Here is an 18,112-nt window from a genome sequence, read left to right on the forward strand (position 1 = left end):
CACAAAAACAAAAAACCCAGTGCCTTCCCATTGGGATGATTTGCTGGTAGGACCCAGAGGAAGTCCTGCCTTCTGCCTTCTTCACCCTACCCTGCCCCTGAGGGATGAGGGGCTGAGGCCTAAGAGGTACGTCCTCCCTCCCACCTCCTCAACTAGGCTGTGCGGTGGGGGGTGAGAAAACACCCTGGTGGGATCCTCTTTGCATGGTCTCGGGCCTTGGATGTCATCTCAGCTAACCTCGACTCCTGTCCTCATTTTGTGCAGACTCAGAGGTTCCGACATGGAACCAGGGTCACACAGCTAGGATGACGTGATGACCAGGCCTCAGGTTCTGACACCCCCCAGGCAGGGGAGGGACCCAGCTCCTCTACGCCCTACTGTCTCAAGAGCAGCCCCTCAGCCTCAACCTGCACCCCTGGGAGGCCCCTGCTCACTGTGCTCCCCCGAGGAACGGGTCCCTGTCCTGGGTGTCACCACAGGAACTGGTATGCCTGGTAAAGCAATTTATTCAAAGCCCACGGCCAAAAATCACCCTAGCCCTGCCTCTGCCTCAGTTATTTCCACACCTACCCCCCTGCTTTGTAGCTACCCCAAGGTGGCGGTAGCTCAAAGTCCCCTGAGGGCTGGGGAGGAAGCTACCCGGCCTGGCTCGCATTCCAGGCCCCACTGTAGGCCAAAGGCATATTTTAAGAGGACAATGGATTTGTTTTTATTAATTTTTTTGCTAAGAAAGTTTCTAGGTGGCAGGTGCTGTCCGGGGAGGGGGCGTGCGCAGCAGACACAGCAGCCAAACTGTCCTTTCTGCTTCCGTCTGTCTGTGCCAGCCCTGCCGCCTGCCAGCTCTTGCTCCCTCAGAGCCAGAAGGTTCTTGGCTCCAGGCTTCCTGGCCTGGATGCTGGCAGCCCCTGGGGAGAGGACCCAGGCCCCCTCTAGTAATGGCCACCACCCTCCCCCCAGGGCAGCTGGAGCCTCATCTTTGGCAGGGTCCCCTCTCCCTTTTCCAGGAGACTCTGTGCCTGTAGCCCTGGTCCCAGTGAACCTGGCCCCCACCCCAGTGGCTGGAACAGGAAGGCCAGGAGGCAGATGGGCCAGGGCCAGGAGACAGATGGCCCAATCCCCTGCCCACCACAGCAGCTTTTCTGAGAGGCGGGCAGGGGCAGGGTTTGCTCCCCCTGGTGCTGGGATGTGGTAGAGACATTGCAGCCAGGGCTGGAGGCAGGGAGGCGGGAGTAGAGATGTCGCTGCTGAGCCCCCATCACCATGGGAGGCAGGGGAGGTCTGCACTCTGGGCACTCCGCATGCTGGGGCTCCCCAAGTGTTAGGCCAGGCTGGAGGGCCGCGATGTGGCGGGGAAGCCCCAGACCCTACAGGAAAGCCCTTGCAAGTCCCCACCGGGGACCCAGCCCCACCGCAAACCTCTACGGCTACGGTGCCGGCCGCAAGGCATGCTGGGAGGCCTGCTTGGCCCGGTGCCGCCGCAGCCTCACAAAGACCTGGGCTTCTCGGTCACCCTTCCGGCCCTCCAGCAGCTGCAGGATTGGGTCCCCTGCGGAGAGAGGGGTTTGGGGGTCAGATGCCAGGGGAGAGGGCAGTGCCTGGTGGTGGCAGAGAAGAGTGTGTGGGGGGGTACACAACACTGCTCCATCTCCCCAACAACCTGGAAGGAAACAAGTGACAGACCCGCGCCAGCCCAGCCCAGGAGGTGGTCTGACAGACGCATCCGGTCGGGTCGCGTAACAGACAGAGTGCTGCTGGGACACTGTCCTGACTGCAGCGAGGGGCTGAGATGTGCCTGAGGTTTGACTATTACCTTTTTATACGAGAACCTAAAGCTAGCAAGTTAACCTTTTCATGCCTCGGTTTACTCATCTGTAAAAGAGTGCTAATATCTGCTTCGTTGGCTGGAATGCATAAAGTGCTTAGCACTTGCTCATAATAAGTGCACAAGCATCAGACCGTTGCTGGTATCAAAAATGCTCTGCAGGGAAGCGGCCCCGCCGAGTGAGATCCAGGCCCTTCTCCCCAGTTAAACTTCTTGGTGACTTCCCCATGCAAGGAGAGTCACGTTACACTTAGCTTAAAGTTCACTGGTCTCTTGATTAGACCGAGAGATGGGCCGTGGCTGTCCCACTGGCTCCCGTCTCCAGGGAAGCTGTTCTCCGACCCTGGCATCACCTCTCTGGGGCCCCTGCCTGAGCTTTACAGGCTCCCGTCCCCGCACCACCCTGCCCTGGGCTCAGGCCTACCGTTGGGTGCGGGGTACGTGAGGGGCAGGCGGGTCTGAGGCACCTCACCAGGCTCCTCAGAGCCACTCAGCCCGGGCACCTCACGCAGCGGCAGGAAGGCCTCGCCTTCCAGGTCGTCGGCCCCCAGCGTGTCGTAGTCCAGCACGGTGAGCAGGAGGCATGCCCCAGCCTTGCGGCACGGCTCAGCAGGCACCAGGCTGCGGGGAGAGTCAGGGCTCTGCTGCCAGCCCCAGCACAGCCACCCCAGCCTCGGCACATGGGTTCACCCACTTGGTGTTGGGAACCAGCCAGGGTTTGGACTGCAAAGCCAGCTCTCAGCCTGGCACCTCTCAGCCATGTGGTGCAATGCCTGCTCTGACCGTGGGCTGATGCTTTAAACCAGCGGTCCTGTGTTCCCTGTTCACCTGTGCTGAGGAACTAGGAGCAGGTTACTGAGAACCTCAGAGACAGGACCCTTCCCTGGAAGTCCCTAAGTTAAACACCTGGGAGTCCACCCCTTCCCCCAAGGGAAGCAAACTTTTTTTTCTGAGACGGAGTCTTGCTCTGTCACCTAGGCTGGAGTGCAGTGGCGCCATCTTGGCTCACTACAACCTCCGCCTCCCGGGTTCAAGTGGTTCTCCTGCCTCAGCCTCCCGAGTAGCTGGGACTGCAGGCGTGTCCCACCACACCCAGCTAATTTTTTGTTTTTAGTAGAGACGGGGTTTCACCATGTTAGCCAGGATGGTCTTGATCTCCTGACCTCGTGATCCGCCCGCCTTGGCCTCCCAAAGTGCTGAGATTACAGGCATGAGCCACCACGCCTGGCCCTCTTTTTTTTTTTTTTTTTTTTTGAGATGGAGTCTCACTCTGTCGCCCAGGCTGGAGTGCAGTGGCACCATCTCAGCAGCCTCTGCCTCCTGGGTTAAGCAATTCTCCTGCCTCAGCCTCCCGAGTAGCTGAGAGTACAGGTACCCACCATCATGCCCGGCTAATTTTGTATTTTTAGTAGAGACTGTTGGCCAGGCTGGTCTTGAACTCCTGACCTCAAGTGATCCGCCTGCCTCGGCCTCCCAAAGTGCTGTGATGACAGGTGTGAGCCACCACATCCAGCTGCAAACTCTTGTCCCAGATGCCCCATCCCTTGGGCCCAAATGTGGCCATCTCAGGGGAGCCCCTTGGCCCCAGCCAGGAGGAGCAGGCCTGAGGGAGCCCAGTGGGGAGAGATGAGGGGAGGGACTGGGAGAAGAACGGGACCCACTCACAATTCAAAGGTCTCATCAAACAATGGGTGAAGGTCCTTCTTGTGCTTCTGGGTCTCCCGGGCGGCCAGCTCAGGGAACTCATGCCTGGGCTCCAAGGTCAGCTGGACAAAGGGGTCGCTGGAGCCTGGTAAGTGGCCGGGGAGTGTGCGTCAGCTGAGGGTCTCCCAGGCACCCCACCCCAGCAGCTATGCTCTGCTCAGCGGCACTGACCCCTCCTGGTAACTGGAGGAAATGCACCCAGAGCTCCTGCAGGGTGAGCGAAGCCCCCAGGGTCGCTGAGACAGGAGGGCCAGGACGGGACCATGGAGAGTGGCCAAAGGCAGCCTCCACTCACCATTGGAGTCCAGGGGCAGCAGGCTGGAGGCGCTGAGCAGCTCCACACGCAGCTTCTGCTCAGAGGCGCGGTAGGAGGCCTTGACTGTCACAGCCCCCAGCTCCTCAGAGGTGGTTTCTGCCTGGGGTGGGGAGCAGGGGCAGGGTCAGCAGGGTCACAGCGGGAGCGGGGTGCTCCAGGGCCTGCAGAGGGCGCAGTGCGAGGGAGGGGCCTCACCTGCTGCTGGATTCGGCTGCAGAAGTACTTCCGGATGAGTTCCCGGCTGGAGGCCGCCTGCAGCTCCAGGTCCCTCTGCAGAGCCTGGGAACACATACAGCTGAGGATCCACCTGGACTGCACGCCCAACCACAGCCCAGGCCTGCCCTCCAGGAGCTCACTGTCAAGGGTAACATGTCCGTTTGAAATGGAAAGTATTGGGTCATGGGACAACGGGCTGGGGCCACCCTCAGGCCAGACAGACAGCAGGAGAGGCACAGACAGGGCTGGCTTCACAGGCGTGCTTCCCCGACCCCACCCCCCATGCGGGCACACAGGGCCCCTGTGCTTAGGAGGACCCAGGCTTGGTTTCAGGTTCTGTCGTCACCGTTCTAAAATTTGTAATAACTTTTGAATAAGGGGCCCAGTTTTTCATTTTGTACTGGGCCCCATAAATTATGTAGCCGACCCTGGACATAGGTGAGTGCCAAAAGGCAGGCTCCCCAGACTTCCTACGGGGAAGCTCACCCAAAGCCCCTACCTGGAAGGTGGCAGTGTGCAGGGCCTTGGGTGGCAGGCCACAGCCCTCAGCGTGGAAGCAGATCTCCAGGTTCTGGGGGAGATATCAGAGGTGACCCCAGGCACCCTCCCACCAGGGTTATCATTGCTGTGACCGGTTCTGTTACCTGCAGGGCAATCTTCAGCCTGTTGGAAGCCAGGGATGAGCTGCGCTGGGAGGCGGCCGCCTCCACCAGCACTGTGAGTGTGTGGGTCCAGAGCAGGGTCAGGAGGCTGGGGCGGGGCCGGAGGGATGCGGACACAGCACGGCAGGGCGGTGGCGGAGGAGGAAGCAAAGACGCTCTTGAGAAAGGGGCGGCCTCAGTGACCCAGCCCCACCCCAGCTCCTCCCACCCCCAACCTCCCCCTCCGCCTCCCACCCCAGGTGAGGCTGGGGAGAGGGTGGGTACAGGACCAGCAAGGGGCAGGTGGGATCAGTCCTATCCAACACACCTCTCAACCTCAGTGAGGAACCCTCCCCAGCACACTAACGGAATGCACAAACAAGGCTGGAGACAGGGAGGAGGCCAGGCCCCCAGTGACAACCATGATTTAAGACAGAACCAGGCCGGGCGTGGTGGCTCACGCCTGTAATCCCAGCACTTTGGGAGGTCGAGGTGGGTGGATCAGGAGGTCAAGAGATTGAGACCATCCTGGCCAACATGGTGAAACCCCGTCTCTACTAAAAATACAAAAATTAGCCAGGCATTGTGGCACGTGCCTGTAGTCCCAGCTACTTGGGAGGCTGAGGCAGGAGAATCGCTTGAACCCAGGAGGCGGAGGTTGCAGTGAGCCAAGATTGCACCACTGCACTCTGGCCTGGCAACAGAGCAAGACTCCATCTCAAAAAAACAATTAGCCAGGCATAATGGCATGCACCTGTAGTCCCAGTTACTCAGCAGGCTGAGGCAGGGAATCACTTGAACCCGGAGGCGGAGGTTGCAGTGAGCTGAGATCGCGCCACTGCACTCCAGCCTGGGCGACAGAGCGAGACTCCGTCTCAAAAAAATAAAAAATATATATACATGGTTTAAGAAATAAAAACGGCCGGGCTCCGAGGGGCCCTGGCTTATACCTCTGGGGGTGGAACAGAACTCTAGGAGGGCTGCGGCCTCTTCAGGGCCCAGATTCCACAGGGAGGTGGGGCGCTGTCATCATCATCGTCACTACCGCTAATAGTCACTGACCACTTCCTTTGTACTGACACCACGCTCAGCACCTCACATGACCCATTTAATCCTCAACAGAAGCCAGAACTACTCTCATCTGCACCGGGAACTTGCCCAAGGCTGCTAAGCAGTGATGAAGCCGGAGTCTGAACCCAGGTGGTCCAGAGCCCATGTGCTGGACTCCACCGCCTGTTGCCTGGCATGCTGGGTCCCTGCTATAAGACACCCTAGCTAGAAGTTCTCCCTGCACCGTGGGCAGGGACCACCTGTAACCTAATGGGGGCAGAGGAGCAGGCAGGGAGGCCCTGAAGACAGGCCTGGGACTAAAGGAGAAAGGACAGGTAGATTTTGGCTCAGCCTAAGGAAGAACTCAAAGCACTCAGAGCTAGGCAGCAGGAAATGGGGAGGCCTGAGAAGTGGCAAGCTCCCCGTCCCTGCAGCGAGCCTTAGCAGAGCCTGTTGCACCCATAAGGGAGGTCACCAAAGGGATTCACCTCCACCCCTCAGAACGGATGCTGAGGCCCAGGAAAGAGGGGCCGTGGGAGGAGAGGGGGAGGTGGCGAGCGCGCCCAGGGCAGGGGCTGCTACACCCCTCAGAACGGATGCTGGGGCCCAGGAAGGAGGGGCCGTGGGAGGAGAGGGGGAGGTGGCGAGCGCGCCCAGGGCAGGGGCTGCTACAGACCTGCTGAAGTTCTCCTGCACCAAGTTGGTGTTCATGTAGCAAAGCTCCACCTCCAGGAACTTCATCAGGGGCAGAATGGCCTGGGGAGGGAGATGGGGAGCAGGTGTGGCTCCGGCCCATGTTGGCCCCACCCCCATCCCCTTCCCCTGACCTGGAGGGAGGAAACAGGGCTGGGAACCGTTCTGTGAGAGCAGTTTGTAGTGTCTGTAAGAGGCCGGCCTGCCCACCTCTCTGCCTTCCCCTCTCCGTTGCTCAGCCTGTCCCAGCCACACTGGCCTCCTCTACAGCCCTGGAACCTTCCAGGCATGGTCCTGCCTCAGGGTCTCTGCCCTTGCCGTTCCCTCTGCCTGGAATGCTCCTCCCCTAGAACTTCTCATGCCTCCTCCCCTTGCTTCCCGTAGGTCTTCGCTCAGTTGTCACGGCCTTCCCTGGCCACCATCTAAAAATACAACCCTCTGACACTTCTCAGCCGCTTCTCTGTTTTAAATTTTCTCTGTAGACTTATCATTATCTAGCACACTGCATGTGTGTGCACGCGCATACACGCCTGTGCATAGAGTTAACAGCTATAACTATCACTATAGTTATGGATACTCACTATGTAGCTCTTTTTTCACCTCCACTACTAGAACGTGGGCTCCAGGAAAGCAGGTATTTTGTCATATTGTTCACTGACCTATCCCCAGTGCTTAAATCAATGCATAGGACAAAGTGGGGACCTAATAAATAGTTGGTGAATGAATGAATATCCTTCTACCCGCCAGTCGAAGGTGTGCATCATGATATGCCCCCACTTACAGGTCAGCTGGCTTGTGTGAACAGGACGGCAAAGCTAGGAGGCAGCTGAGAAGGATGTGCACCCTGGCCTGTTTGGCTGCAAAGTCTAAGCCGTCCCCAACTGCAGCCCCCTCATTGACTGTCAGTGCTGGGACAGCCAGTGGAGTGACCCAACCCGTTCCTGTGAGCATCCCAGGAGGAAACTGAGGCCCAGGGAGAGAACATGCTTTGCCTGGTCTGGGGGACTTATCTTTGACACCAAGGCCTTCAATGACCCCAGATCTACAGAGCTGGCAGGGTGGTGAAGGCCAGCAGGCAGAAGGGCCACTTACATCCTCAGGCAGGACAGACTCCCTGACGCCCACCAGTTTCTGGATGTGCTTGGCGATGCCCACCTCCAACTGGAGACACAAAACGGAAGAAGGAGGGAGGTCAGGGCATGAGTCGGGGATGGAAGAGTTCCTTAGGGCCTGAGTTTAGACGCACGAAGGGGTCAGGGTTGGACCTTGGCCCAGGTGCTGCTGGAGCCAGGTAGGCTGAAGACGGGATGGGATGGGGTGACTGTGCGGTCGGACAAGGTACCTGCTCGGCCAGGGTGCGGACGCCAGTGCGGATCTCATGGCCCAGCCCGGCCAGCGCGCTCTGCAGCTGGGCATGCAGCGTGTTCTGCAGCTGCCCCTGCTCCAGCACGGCCCCTACCCGCTGCTCCAGGGCCTCCCATGCCAGCTGGGCGGGCAACTTGCCGATCACCAGCCGCAGCTGCTCCATGTCATTCACCACCACACACAGCTGGGACAGAGATGCAGAGCTTCCTGAACTGTGCCCAGGCTGGTCCCCACACCCAGCTAGACTCCCAGCCCCAGCTCTGGCCTTACCATGTTGGCTGCCTGGCCTTGGTCCTTCTGGCCTGAAGAGAGCTCGCGGGCCCGGGCCTTTATAAGGCTGCAGTACACCAGGGCCAGGCGACAGGTGTCCTAGGGTGGGGTTGGACAGAGGGAACTGATCCATGGGTGGGGCATCCAGGAAGGGCAGGTGGGAGGGCATGGGAATTTCAGCGACTTGGGGGATTTAGAATACAGGCCTTGGGAGGCTGCCTGGGTGAGAGCACGGGAGAAACGGTGGGTGGTAGTGTGGCTGTTCTAGAAAGAGGGGGAAGGACACGTGGAAGATGCCGCACCTCCACAAACTTGACGGTAATCATGAAGGCCTCCTCTGGGTCTGGCCAGTCCAGCTGCCGGGCAGTGTGGCTGATCTGGGCAAAGCAGGTGGATAGATCCACCGCTGATGTGCTGTGCTTGGTCAGTTCACCCAGGGGCACCAGCTGGGGGAAGAAAGGAGGACTCAGGATACTGCCAAATCCACCCCCTTCCCTCCTTCCTTCATTCATAGAGCAGCTACCATCACCAGGCACAGAGCTGGGCAGGGAGCTTCACAAGAGACAAGCACGGCTCCGCCCAGACCCCCAGGCTGCAGGATCTCAGGCAAAGTGAAGCCACAGCCCCAAGGATATCCAGAGGCAGCGTTTTGCACAAAACTGGACTCAAGTGCACCCAAAAGGGATGTTCAGAGCGGGTTACTGGCTTTTACTACGCTTTGGAGGTCCAGGCAGAACCCAAGCCTCACCCCCAAACCGGGGCCCCGCCCCCTGCCCTGGCCACGCCCCCACCTCATCCATCTGCACAGCGCGCTGCACCCGCGCCAGGGCCTCGTTGTACGTCTTCTGCAGCCAGGAGGGGATGGCCGGCTGGAACCAGCGGTGGAAATTATCCAGGGCCAGGACTCCATCCCTGGGGATTGCCGGGGCTCAGCGTCGGGAAGGCTGGGGCCACCATGGACCCTGGGGCCTCGTCCACCCTCCCCTCCCCTGTGCCCCTGCAGCCGCCCACAATTGGCCTGCTGCCCACCTCTCTGAGGAGCTCATGCGCAGCTGGCAGAGCTCCTTGAGGCTGATGTAGAGCTGGAACAGACTCTCGCCCATCTCTGGGGACACTACATCACCCACAACCGTCGTGTGGTCCTGCACCCGCTTGGCCACCTGCAAAGGAAAGGTGTGGAGGGCGGGGCCCACAGCTCTGTTGGAGGGCATGCCCTAGAGACGGGGGAGGGACTCACCAGCCACTGCAGCTCCCGGAAAGCCATGGAGAAGAGGTGGATCTTGAGGGTACTGGAGGAAAGGCAGCAGGTGTCACCCAGTGGCATACACCAGGGTCCCCATGGTTCCGGCTCTGAGGCAATGCCCCACTACCTCCCGACCTGGCTATCTGCTCACTTGTGGAAGATCTTGTCCCATGTGCGCTGGCACTGGTGCAGGTCGCCAATGACATCCTGTACCAGGCCCAGCAAGGCCTTGCCTGCCTCCGGGATGCCCTGCAGAGACAGAGGTGGGCTGGGCAGGGCTGCCAGAGGCAGGCACCACCCCCCGTGACCCCCTGCCCTCCCCCTTGCCCAGCCCCTCACCTGCACCATGGGTTGATGGTGCTGCTGCTTCAGGTGGAACCATTCAGTGGTGCCAGTCTGTCGACAAAGAGGCAGTGAGCAGGGAGGGACTGCCAGGCCCAGGCGCTGGTCTCCCCCATCCCCAGCGCGAGTACCATACCTGCAGGGCCTCAGTCACCAGCTGGGGCAATGGGGCGGTGTTGGGGCACAGTTCTCCAAAGGCCTTCATCTTGCACATCTGTACCAGGACCCTGCAAGATGGAAAGAGCTGTGTCGAAAGTGCCTGCTGCCCCACACTGCACTCACTCCTCCAACAATTCTCCCACTCCTGCAGGCACCCCAGCTGCTCCCTCATCCCTGACCCCACCGAGGAAGAGGAAGGCAGCCACTGACCTGAGAAGAGACTGCAGCCGGGCTGGGGAGTCCGAGACAGAGAGGGGGAAGACAGAGCGGAACCTCCGGATGAGGGAGAGGCCGTAGGTCAGCAGGGAGCTGAATGAGGCGGCCAGCTCCTCCTGCTGAAGAGCCAGGAGATGCTTTAGGGGCCTAGACAGCTGCTGCTGCTCCCCTGCCCCTTCCCTGAGCCCTGCCTGCTCAGTGCCCCTTGCCACTGCATGCCTACCTGTTCTGCCTTGAGCCGACCCTGGATCCACTGGTACTCGATGCTGGTGATGGGGTGCAGGAGGCAGCTGCTGGGGAACTCCAGGCTCTGGTAGAGGCGGCTGTAGGCCAGCCACTGCCTGCAGGGGACAGGAAGCCCTCAGCTGGACAGGGAGGAGGAAATTGCCTTCCCCTGTTCACCCGGCCTCAGGTGGGGGGAATCGCCTCCCATCCACCAGTACAGGCTGAAAACTAGTGGCTCAACAGGACATGCAGGATTGTTTTTGTTTTGTGTTTTTTTTTTTGAGATGTAGTCTCACTCCGTCACCCAGGCTGGAGTGCAGTGGCGTGATCTCGGCTCACTGCAACCTGCGCCTCCTGGGTTCAAGCGATTCTCCAGCCTCAGCCTCCCAAGTAGCTGGGACTACAGGCATGTACCACCATGCCCAGCTAAATTTTTTATTTTTAGTAGAGATGGGGTTTCACCATGTTGGCCAGGCTGGTCTCGAACACCTGACCTCAAGTGATCCACCCGCCTCGGCCTCCCAAAGTTCTGGGATTACAGACATGAGTCACTGTGACCAGCCAGGATTTTTTTTCTTTGTTTCCATAGATGCTTTTCAAATTGCCCAGATTGAGATCTTTGTGATTTTAAAACTTCAGGATTTCTTGCTGTTTTTGAAAAATTGGATTAGCTGGGCACAGTGGCTCACACCTGTAATCCCAGGACTTTTGGAGGCCGAGGCGGGTGGATCACCTGAGGTCAGGAGTTTGAGACCAGCCTGGCCAACATAGTGAAACCCCATCTCTACCAAAAATACAAAATTTAGCCAGGTGTGATGGCAGGCACCTGTAGTCCCAGCTACTTGGGAGGCTGAGACAAGAGAATCACTTGAACCTGGGAGGCAGAAGTTGCAGTGAGCTGAGATTGTGCCATGGCACTCCAGCCTGGGCGACAAGAGGGAAACTCCAGCTCAAAAAAAAAAAAGAAAAGAAAAGAAAAATAGGATCTATGAACCTGAGCCTTCGTGCACATGTGGCAAGCATCAGTGAGAACTTCCTTTCAGATGGTTTGGGGGGATATCACACAAACGAGGTCCCGTGGGAGGGCAGAGGATGGGGGAGAGGAGCAGCCTGGGGACAGGCCGAAGTCCCTATTGGACACTGCAGCCACCTGCATTACTGTGCTTGGGCCCTGCAGGCAAACCAGGTCCCTCCCCATCTGGTGCCTGCTCCAGTCTCCAGCCGCACCACCATTCCACCCTTGTCTCCGAATCACCCACCTGCCTGAGGTCCTAGCAGTACACAAGCTGACCCCAGCCCAGAAATGCACTCCCCTGGGCTCCCTCCGCCTCCCACTCAGACTCCAAGTCACAGCCCAGGCCTGAGTCGGCATCCTGCTCCTGTTCCTCCCCTGGCCAGCACTTGGCTGTGTCCCATCTCTTTTTTTTTTTTTTTGAGACAGAGCCTCGCTGTGTCGCCCAGGCTGGAGTGCAGTGGTGTGATCTCAGGTCACTGCAACCTCCACCTCCCGGGTTCAAGTGATTCTCGTGCCTCACCCTCCCGAGTAGCTGGGATTACAGACATGCGCCCCCACACCTGACTAATTTTTCTATATTTTGTAGAGACAGGATTTCACCATGTTGGCCAGGCTGGTCTCAAACTCCTGACTTCAAGTGATCTGCCTGTCTCGGCCTCCCAAAGTGCTGGGATTCCAGGCGCGAGCCACCGTGCCCGGCCGGCTATGTCCCATCTCTGCCCTACTCACATGCACTGGAATGGCTGTGACCCCCTGTGCCCTCCCCGGCATTCCTAGGACTTGACGTGAGTTGCCCTCAACATAGATTTGTCCTTATCAGCGCGTAGTTTTGCTGAGTTGAAGGCTATGGCATTGGGAAGCGGGGCTGGGGTTAGGGACCGGGTCCAAATTCAAATGCCCAGGACTCAGGAGACGAAAGCAACTGAAGTGGGCCCAATGGCAGCCATGATGGGCAGAGGCACACACATCGCTCCGCTCTGTCCACTCAAAAAAGCAGCAAAGGCTGGGCGCGGTGGCACGCGCCTATAATCCCAGCACTTTGGGAGGCCAAGGCGGGCGGATCATGAGGTCAGGAGATCGAGACCATCCTGGCTAACACGGTGAAACCCCATCTCTACTAAAAATACAAAAAATTAGCCGGGCGCGGTGGCTGGCGCCTGTAGTCCCAGCTACTCGGGAGGCTGAGGCAGGAGAATGGCGTGAACCCAGGAGGCGGAGCCTGCAGTGAGCCAAGATCGTGCCACTGCACTCCGGCCTGGGCGAAAGAGCAAGACTCTGTCTCAAAAAAAAAAAGCAGCAAAATGGCTCGGTGCAGTGGCTCATGCCTATAATCTCAGCACTTTGAGAGGCCAAGGCAGGCAGATCACCTGAGGTCGGGAGTTGGAGACCAGCTTGACCAACATGGAGAAACCCCGTCTCTACTAAAAATACAAAGTTAGCTGGGCGTGGTGGCGCATGCCTGTAATCCCAGCTACTCGGGAGGCTGAGGCAGGAGAATCACTTGAACCTGGAAGGCAGAGGTTGCATGCAGTGAGTCAAGATTGCACCATTCCACTCCAGCCTGGGCAACAAGGGTGAAACTCCGTTTCAAAAAAAAAAAAAAAAAGCAGCAAAATGATGACCCTGCAGTTCCAGCACTTGTGTTTCATGAGAAGCTGGAGATCTGGATGGTATGTCAAATCTCCAGATAGCTTTTTCTAATATTTTTTGGAAATGAGGTCTCACTCTGTGATCCGGGCAGGAGTGTTGGTGTGATCATAGCTCACTGCAGCCTTGAAATCCTGGGCTCAAGTGATCCTCCTGCCTCAGCCTCCCAAAGTCCTGGGATTACAGGAGTGAGCCACCGCATCAGCCGAATCTCTAGACTTTTTAAAATTGGCAACTGATTCAAAACTTAAAACACACATTTTGGGCCAAAGGGAACTCTGCTGAGAATTACACTTTGGGCTACCGGCTTGGAGGAGGGCAGGGGGCGTGGGGGGCTGGTGGCTCAGGGGTTCTGCCCAGGGCTGTGTACTCACGCCATGGACTGGTGGAAGTCGGATAGGTCCTTCTGTGTGGCGTGCAGAAAGAGGACGGTGGCAGCCTGGGGACTCAGCGACCCGTCCCAGGAGGTGCTTCCCGCCTGAGGGGAGCAGGTGGAGGAGTGTCAGGACCTGAAGGGCAGCCCCGGCTGCGCCCAGCCCCAGGAGGGCAATACCTCGTGCTGGGTGACCTCGTGGGACACAAGCTGCTGCAGGAGGTGGAGGTGCACGGTGTAGCTCGGCTGCGAGCGGCTGGCCGAAGTGGCTCTCTGCAATGAGGCCTCTGTGAGCAGACAGGGCCTCACACTGGGTGCAGCCAGCCCCGCAACCCAGCAGACCGCCGCAAGAGCTGGGCATGGCCACTGGCCCAGTACCCGACCTACCCGCTTATGGATGAGTTGGAACTGGAGGTGGCACTGGCCTCGGTCTGGGTAGGTCTCAGTGCGGGGTTCCAGGGGGTACCACTGGTCCTCTCGGCAGCGCAGGTCCTGACAGGCGGGGATGCCCAGCCCGTGAGCGTCAGAACCTCATAGAGTCGGGGCAGCGGAGGCGACAGGAGGTGGACCCCAGGCTCAGCTTTGTGAGGACACAGAGCCTCTCCCCAGAACCCCTCCCAACCCCCTCCCTCTGCCTCGCTCCTGGGCCCCTTTCCTCATCCTCCTCACCTGCAGCCTCAGAACCACGTTCCCCAGAAAGTCGTCCTGGCCTTTGTCCTTCCGGGCCTCTTTAAAGATCCTGCGTCAGGCAGGGTCCCATAAGGGGGACGCAGCAAGGGTCGGAAGGGATTAGGCTGGAATCCACCCCCGGCCGCAGCCACCTGGACCCCAAAGGAGCCTGCACCCCAGCATCCAGTGTGCATGTTGGGGGATGGAGGGCAAAAGGAGCCCCAACCCCTTCCCTGTGAGCCCTGCAACACGAACCTGCGAAGCCCATGCAGATCCGTGAGCTCCCCAAGCTTCTGTCGGACAGACTCCACAGTGTCCAGGTCCCTGGCAGGACAGAGGTTTGAGAAGGAAGCAGAGAGAGTGCCTACGACCTCTTCCAGGAGGAGGTTCCGCCTCTCTCACCCCAGATCCCTTCCCTTCCCATCCCTAGGGGCAGGCCAGGTCACTCACCACATGTCCAGATGAAAGCTCGCATTGGTGATGTCCTCAAACTCCCTGTATGGAGAAAAGGGCGTGGTTGAGGGCCCTGGAGGGTGGATGCCCCCAGACGAAGCAGTAAGTGACCACAGCCCAGAGCCATGGAGTTGTAGCCTATCCCTGCCAAACTTCCCTCCTCCCAGCCGCATCCCTTTTTTTTTTTTTTTTTTTTTTTTTGAGATGGAGTCTAGTTCTGTCCCCCAGGCTGGAGGAGTGCAGTGGCAGGATCTAACTCACTGCAACCTCTGCCTCCTGGGTTCAAGCAATTTTCCTGCCTCAGCCTTCCAAGTAGCTGGGATTACAGGTGCCCGCCACCACACCTGGCTAATTTTTGTATTTTTAGTAGAGACGGGGTTTCACTGTGTTGGCCACACTGGTCTTGAGCTTCTGACCTCGTGATCCGCCCGCCTAGGCCTCCCAAAGTGCTGGGATTACAAGCGTGAGCCACCGCGCCCAGCCTTTTTTTTTTTTTTTTTGAGACAGAGTCTCACTCTGTCACCCAGGCTGGAGTGCAGTGGCGTGATCTCGGCTCACTGCAACCTCCGCCTCCCGGGTTCAAGTGATTCTCCTGCCTCAGCCTCTTAAGTAGCTGGGATTACAGGCATGCACCTCCACGCCCGGCTAATTTTTGTACTTTTAGGAGAGGTGGGCCTTCATTGTGTTGGCCAGGCTGGTCTCAAACTCCTGACCTCAGGTGATCCACCTGCCTCGGCCTCCCAAAAGTGCTGGGATTACAGGCATGAGTCCCTGCGCCTGGCCCCCACTAATTTTTTTTTTTTTTTTTGAGACAGAGTGTCGCTCTGTCACCAGGCTGGAGTGCAGTGGTGCTATCTCGGCTCACTGCAACCTCCGCCTCCCAGGTTCAAGCGATTCCCCTGCCTCAGCCTTCCGAGTAGCTGGGACTACAGGCGCCTGCCACCACGCCCGGCTAATTTTTTGTATTTTAGTAGAGACGGGGTTTCACCGTGTTAGCCAGGATGGTCTCAATCTCCTGACCTCATGATCTGCCCTCCTCAGCCTCCCAAAATGCTGGGATTATAGGCGTGAGCCACCACGCCCGGCCTTTTTTGTATTTTTAGTAGAGATGGGGTTTTGCCATGTTGGCCAGGCTGGTCTCAGTCTCCTGGCCTCCCAAAGTGCTGGGATTACAGGTGGGAACCACTGCACCCATCCCTGCCTCCTTTCAGGTACAGCTTCAGGCACCCCCAGACTCACCCACAAGGGCCTGACCCTCCTTGCCCCATCAGCACGTGTGGCATTGATCTTGTTCTGTCCCATCTGACCTACTGTCCACCTAACGTGCCTGGAGATGGGCTTCTCCTCTAGTCTTTGCCCAGGGCCAAACCCCCTCCCCTGAGCCAGGACGACCTACTCATCTCATTGTCTGGGGCAGACCCTGCTACCCAGGAAAGACCTGGATAGAGTGGGGGCTGGAGCACGGCCACGTACAGGATGAAGGTCTCGTCCCAGACGGGGTTGAGTGTCTGGGTGATGACCTGCGTGCGGTGGGTCTCCTCCTCGGGGATGGTGTGCCTCACCACAGCCTTCTGCCGATGCCGGGACCCGGGGCTGCCCCCTGGCACACCTACCCCCTGCTCAATGCCCAGCAGGCAGTAGGGGTCGCTGAACCCTGTGGAGGAGTGGGGAAGACGAGGCAGCCAGGGAGTCGGCTGGGTCCCTGGGAGAGGCCCTCATCACCCCCGCCCGGGGCTGAGCCTCCTCCGGGGGAGAGGGAAGGGGACCAGCAGCATGGGGGGCCAGCGCTACAGGGCTTCTTGGAAGTGGGTGCTCCCGCCAAGAGTCCTGGGCCAGGCTGTGATGGGAGAGGAAGGAGCCAGGAAGAAGCCCCTTGGGGACCCCACCCCATGCTCACCACTGACATCTTTGCCCAGAATGCCCTTGGCCTGTTTCACTGTTGCCTTCAGACAAAATATTGGCTTCTGGAGGGACAGGAGGGATGGCCTGAGTCCCTGAGGGGGCTGGGCTTCCCAGGCCCCTCCTTGCCCAGGGGGACCCTGGCCCCAGGTTACCTCAAGCTCCCTGACCCGCTGCAGTGTCTGCTGGTGCTCCTCGGGCTCCACGTGGAAGGCCTGGTGGGGAGGCAGGCGGGTGGGTGGCTGGGGGCACCAGACAGGGCAGCTGCAGGAAGGGGGGTGGGGTGGGAGCCGGGCTCACCTCCTGCAGGTATCGCAGCAGCTCAGAGGCCTCCGTCACATGGTTGGGCTCAGGATGACCCAGGCGGTGCAAGACAGTGTAGAGTGCGTCCTCGTAGAGCAGGGCCCGCTAAGACACACGGGGTCACCTTGGGGACCCCACCAGCCACCCCTGGCACCAACACCTCTCGCCATGGGCAGGACAAGGGCGGCTTGTGCAGCGGAGGGAGTTGAGACCCAGGAGTCCCCTCCCCACCGCAAGTTGCTTGCTGCCATCAGCGTCGGCCGGCAGGAGGACACACAGCCGCCCTCCCCACCTCTCTGCACCCCAGCACTCTGACTCTTACCTGCTCGGGGGAGAAGTGGTGGGATGGAGGCTGGATCTGCAGAGCAAGGTGGAAAGGCAGTGTCCCGGGAGGCCCAGAGCAGGCTCAGATGGACAGGAATGGCTCCTCTGAGGCCTGATCCAGGCCAAGGGTATGGGGGCCCCAGCACCCCGGCCTCCAGCCCCAGTGATGCCCCGCACCTGTTCCCCCAGCAGGCCTCCTGGAGGTCCGTCCCTGGGCCCGCCGTGGCTGAGGTCCATGGGTGCCCAGCAGCGCGAGCCCTCCGCACCCGCACCCCACCTCCCTCCCTTCCCCAGAGGAAACAGCTCTGCTTATCAGTGGCGGCTGCTCCTCACCCAGCAGCGGAAGTGAGGCTCGGCAGCGGAGGTGAGGGGGGTGCCACGTCGGCCTGGGGGTCTGCTGCTCCCCGAACAGCTCACCCCACAGCAGGGACACCCCCACCTAATGGAGTCGGCTCTTCTGAAGCTGGAGGAGTAGGGGATGGGGTCAGGCCAACCGGGAGGGAGGGGTTCTGAGAGCCTCAGACCACAGGGCCTGAGGCCCACAGTGGCCCAGAGTCCATCTGGCAGCCCCTGCTCTGCTGGCCCAGGGGGCTCTCCCCAGGGTGGAGTAGGCAGGGGAGGGTCGCTGGTCCCCAGTCCCAGCCTTCGAGAGGTGGGGCCAGACAGCAGGGCACCCGTACCCGAGACCACAGTGCTCCCCAAGGCCAGCTCTCTCCCCAGTGAGGTCACTCCTACCTCCGGGGCCATTTGGGGCGGGGGATCCTGTAGATCTCTGACTCTGCGGCGCCTTATCTTGATGGCCTGGCGCAAGAAGGGAGGGCGCTGCTGCGGATGGGAGAGGAGTGTCGCCATGGTGGCCTTCTCTGCCCTTCCCTGTCCGCTGGTGCTGGGTGAAGACAGCGAAGCCACAGGATTATGCAAAGAGCCTGGGGCTGCCACCCTCTGTCAGGGGAAGTTTTAGGGAGGGTGGCTGGGAGGGACGGAAGGGTGAGGGTTTCACCGCTTCGGAGAGGCAGTCTCCCAGGCCCCCTGCACCTTCCCCAGCTGGGATCCCTACAGGACCCTCCTCTGGCTGGAGCAGAAGGTGGACCCCGTGGGCAGGCCTGGCCCCGCCCCACCCTCCTACAGAGGCCCTGGGAAGGGGACAACGCTCTCAGCAGGGGGCGG

The 18,112-nt window shown here is 59.6% G+C and overlaps 1 protein-coding gene across 1 annotated transcript, besides 10 other annotated features; it reads right to left on the reverse strand.

The window, feature by feature from the left end:
• Nucleotides 685-17,864, reverse strand: UNC13D (unc-13 homolog D). The gene is made up of 32 exons (NM_199242.3): nt 17,681-17,864; nt 16,944-16,979; nt 16,619-16,726; nt 16,474-16,533; nt 16,317-16,383; nt 15,893-16,073; nt 14,417-14,461; nt 14,222-14,290; nt 13,967-14,036; nt 13,685-13,789; nt 13,478-13,570; nt 13,299-13,402; nt 10,261-10,378; nt 10,032-10,156; nt 9,799-9,889; nt 9,660-9,716; nt 9,472-9,569; nt 9,315-9,366; nt 9,107-9,237; nt 8,869-8,989; nt 8,380-8,523; nt 8,078-8,176; nt 7,785-7,991; nt 7,535-7,603; nt 6,426-6,505; nt 4,703-4,808; nt 4,558-4,629; nt 4,038-4,121; nt 3,822-3,942; nt 3,488-3,611; nt 2,247-2,443; nt 685-1,546 (listed from the first exon to the last, which is right to left on the reverse strand). Exons 1-32 carry the CDS (start codon nt 17,795-17,797, stop codon nt 1,425-1,427), a joined length of 3,273 nt encoding a protein of 1,090 aa, NP_954712.1. The 5' UTR covers nt 17,798-17,864; the 3' UTR covers nt 685-1,424.
• Nucleotides 3,209-4,197: an enhancer, noted in NCBI's record as "H3K27ac-H3K4me1 hESC enhancer chr17:73825830-73826818 (GRCh37/hg19 assembly coordinates)". NCBI's record gives its function as "activates a minimal SCP1, AML or CMV promoter by ChIP-STARR-seq in naive H9 embryonic stem cells {active_cell/tissue: H9 hESC(naive)}" and the evidence as "EXISTENCE:reporter gene assay evidence [ECO:0000049][PMID:30033119]".
• Nucleotides 3,868-4,162: an enhancer, noted in NCBI's record as "tiled region #1193; HepG2 Activating non-DNase unmatched - State 12:CtcfO, and K562 Activating non-DNase unmatched - State 14:Gen5'". NCBI's record gives its function as "activates a minimal TATA promoter and a strong SV40 promoter by Sharpr-MPRA in HepG2 and K562 cells {active_cell/tissue: HepG2 | K562}" and the evidence as "EXISTENCE:reporter gene assay evidence [ECO:0000049][PMID:27701403]".
• Nucleotides 4,198-5,185: an enhancer, noted in NCBI's record as "H3K27ac-H3K4me1 hESC enhancer chr17:73826819-73827806 (GRCh37/hg19 assembly coordinates)". NCBI's record gives its function as "activates a minimal SCP1, AML or CMV promoter by ChIP-STARR-seq in naive H9 embryonic stem cells {active_cell/tissue: H9 hESC(naive)}" and the evidence as "EXISTENCE:reporter gene assay evidence [ECO:0000049][PMID:30033119]".
• Nucleotides 8,695-9,195: an enhancer, noted in NCBI's record as "H3K4me1 hESC enhancer chr17:73831316-73831816 (GRCh37/hg19 assembly coordinates)". NCBI's record gives its function as "activates a minimal SCP1, AML or CMV promoter by ChIP-STARR-seq in naive H9 embryonic stem cells {active_cell/tissue: H9 hESC(naive)}" and the evidence as "EXISTENCE:reporter gene assay evidence [ECO:0000049][PMID:30033119]".
• Nucleotides 9,697-10,697: an enhancer, noted in NCBI's record as "H3K4me1 hESC enhancer chr17:73832318-73833318 (GRCh37/hg19 assembly coordinates)". NCBI's record gives its function as "activates a minimal SCP1, AML or CMV promoter by ChIP-STARR-seq in primed H9 embryonic stem cells {active_cell/tissue: H9 hESC(primed)}" and the evidence as "EXISTENCE:reporter gene assay evidence [ECO:0000049][PMID:30033119]".
• Nucleotides 12,046-12,545: an enhancer, noted in NCBI's record as "H3K4me1 hESC enhancer chr17:73834667-73835166 (GRCh37/hg19 assembly coordinates)". NCBI's record gives its function as "activates a minimal SCP1, AML or CMV promoter by ChIP-STARR-seq in naive H9 embryonic stem cells {active_cell/tissue: H9 hESC(naive)}" and the evidence as "EXISTENCE:reporter gene assay evidence [ECO:0000049][PMID:30033119]".
• Nucleotides 17,134-17,193: a silencer, noted in NCBI's record as "silent region_8986". NCBI's record gives its function as "represses an Ori minimal core promoter by ATAC-STARR-seq in GM12878 lymphoblastoid cells {active_cell/tissue: GM12878}" and the evidence as "EXISTENCE:reporter gene assay evidence [ECO:0000049][PMID:35858748]".
• Nucleotides 17,381-18,085: an enhancer, noted in NCBI's record as "H3K4me1 hESC enhancer chr17:73840002-73840706 (GRCh37/hg19 assembly coordinates)". NCBI's record gives its function as "activates a minimal SCP1, AML or CMV promoter by ChIP-STARR-seq in primed H9 embryonic stem cells {active_cell/tissue: H9 hESC(primed)}" and the evidence as "EXISTENCE:reporter gene assay evidence [ECO:0000049][PMID:30033119]".
• Nucleotides 17,381-18,103: a biological region, named in NCBI's record as "H3K4me1 hESC enhancer GRCh37_chr17:73840002-73840706".
• Nucleotides 18,044-18,103: a silencer, noted in NCBI's record as "silent region_8987". NCBI's record gives its function as "represses an Ori minimal core promoter by ATAC-STARR-seq in GM12878 lymphoblastoid cells {active_cell/tissue: GM12878}" and the evidence as "EXISTENCE:reporter gene assay evidence [ECO:0000049][PMID:35858748]".

This window comes from Homo sapiens, chromosome 17 (genome assembly GCF_000001405.40).
Source record: "Homo sapiens chromosome 17, GRCh38.p14 Primary Assembly".
NCBI classification, from domain to species: Eukaryota; Metazoa; Chordata; class Mammalia; order Primates; family Hominidae; genus Homo; species Homo sapiens.

Bases quoted from the DNA above. Each gene is read 5' to 3' on its own strand.
- UNC13D (NM_199242.3), bottom strand. From the start codon at position 17,797: ATGGCGACACTCCTCTCCCATCCGCAGCAGCGCCCTCCCTTCTTGCGC. The intron at 13,790-13,966 runs GTGAGGAGGATG...CCCGCCTGTCAG, and splicing joins ACGTGGTTCTGAGGCTGCAG to GACCTGCGCTGCCGAGAGGA. The intron at 1,547-2,246 runs GTAGGCCTGAGC...CTCTCTCCGCAG, and splicing joins CACGTACCCCGCACCCAACG to GGGACCCAATCCTGCAGCTG.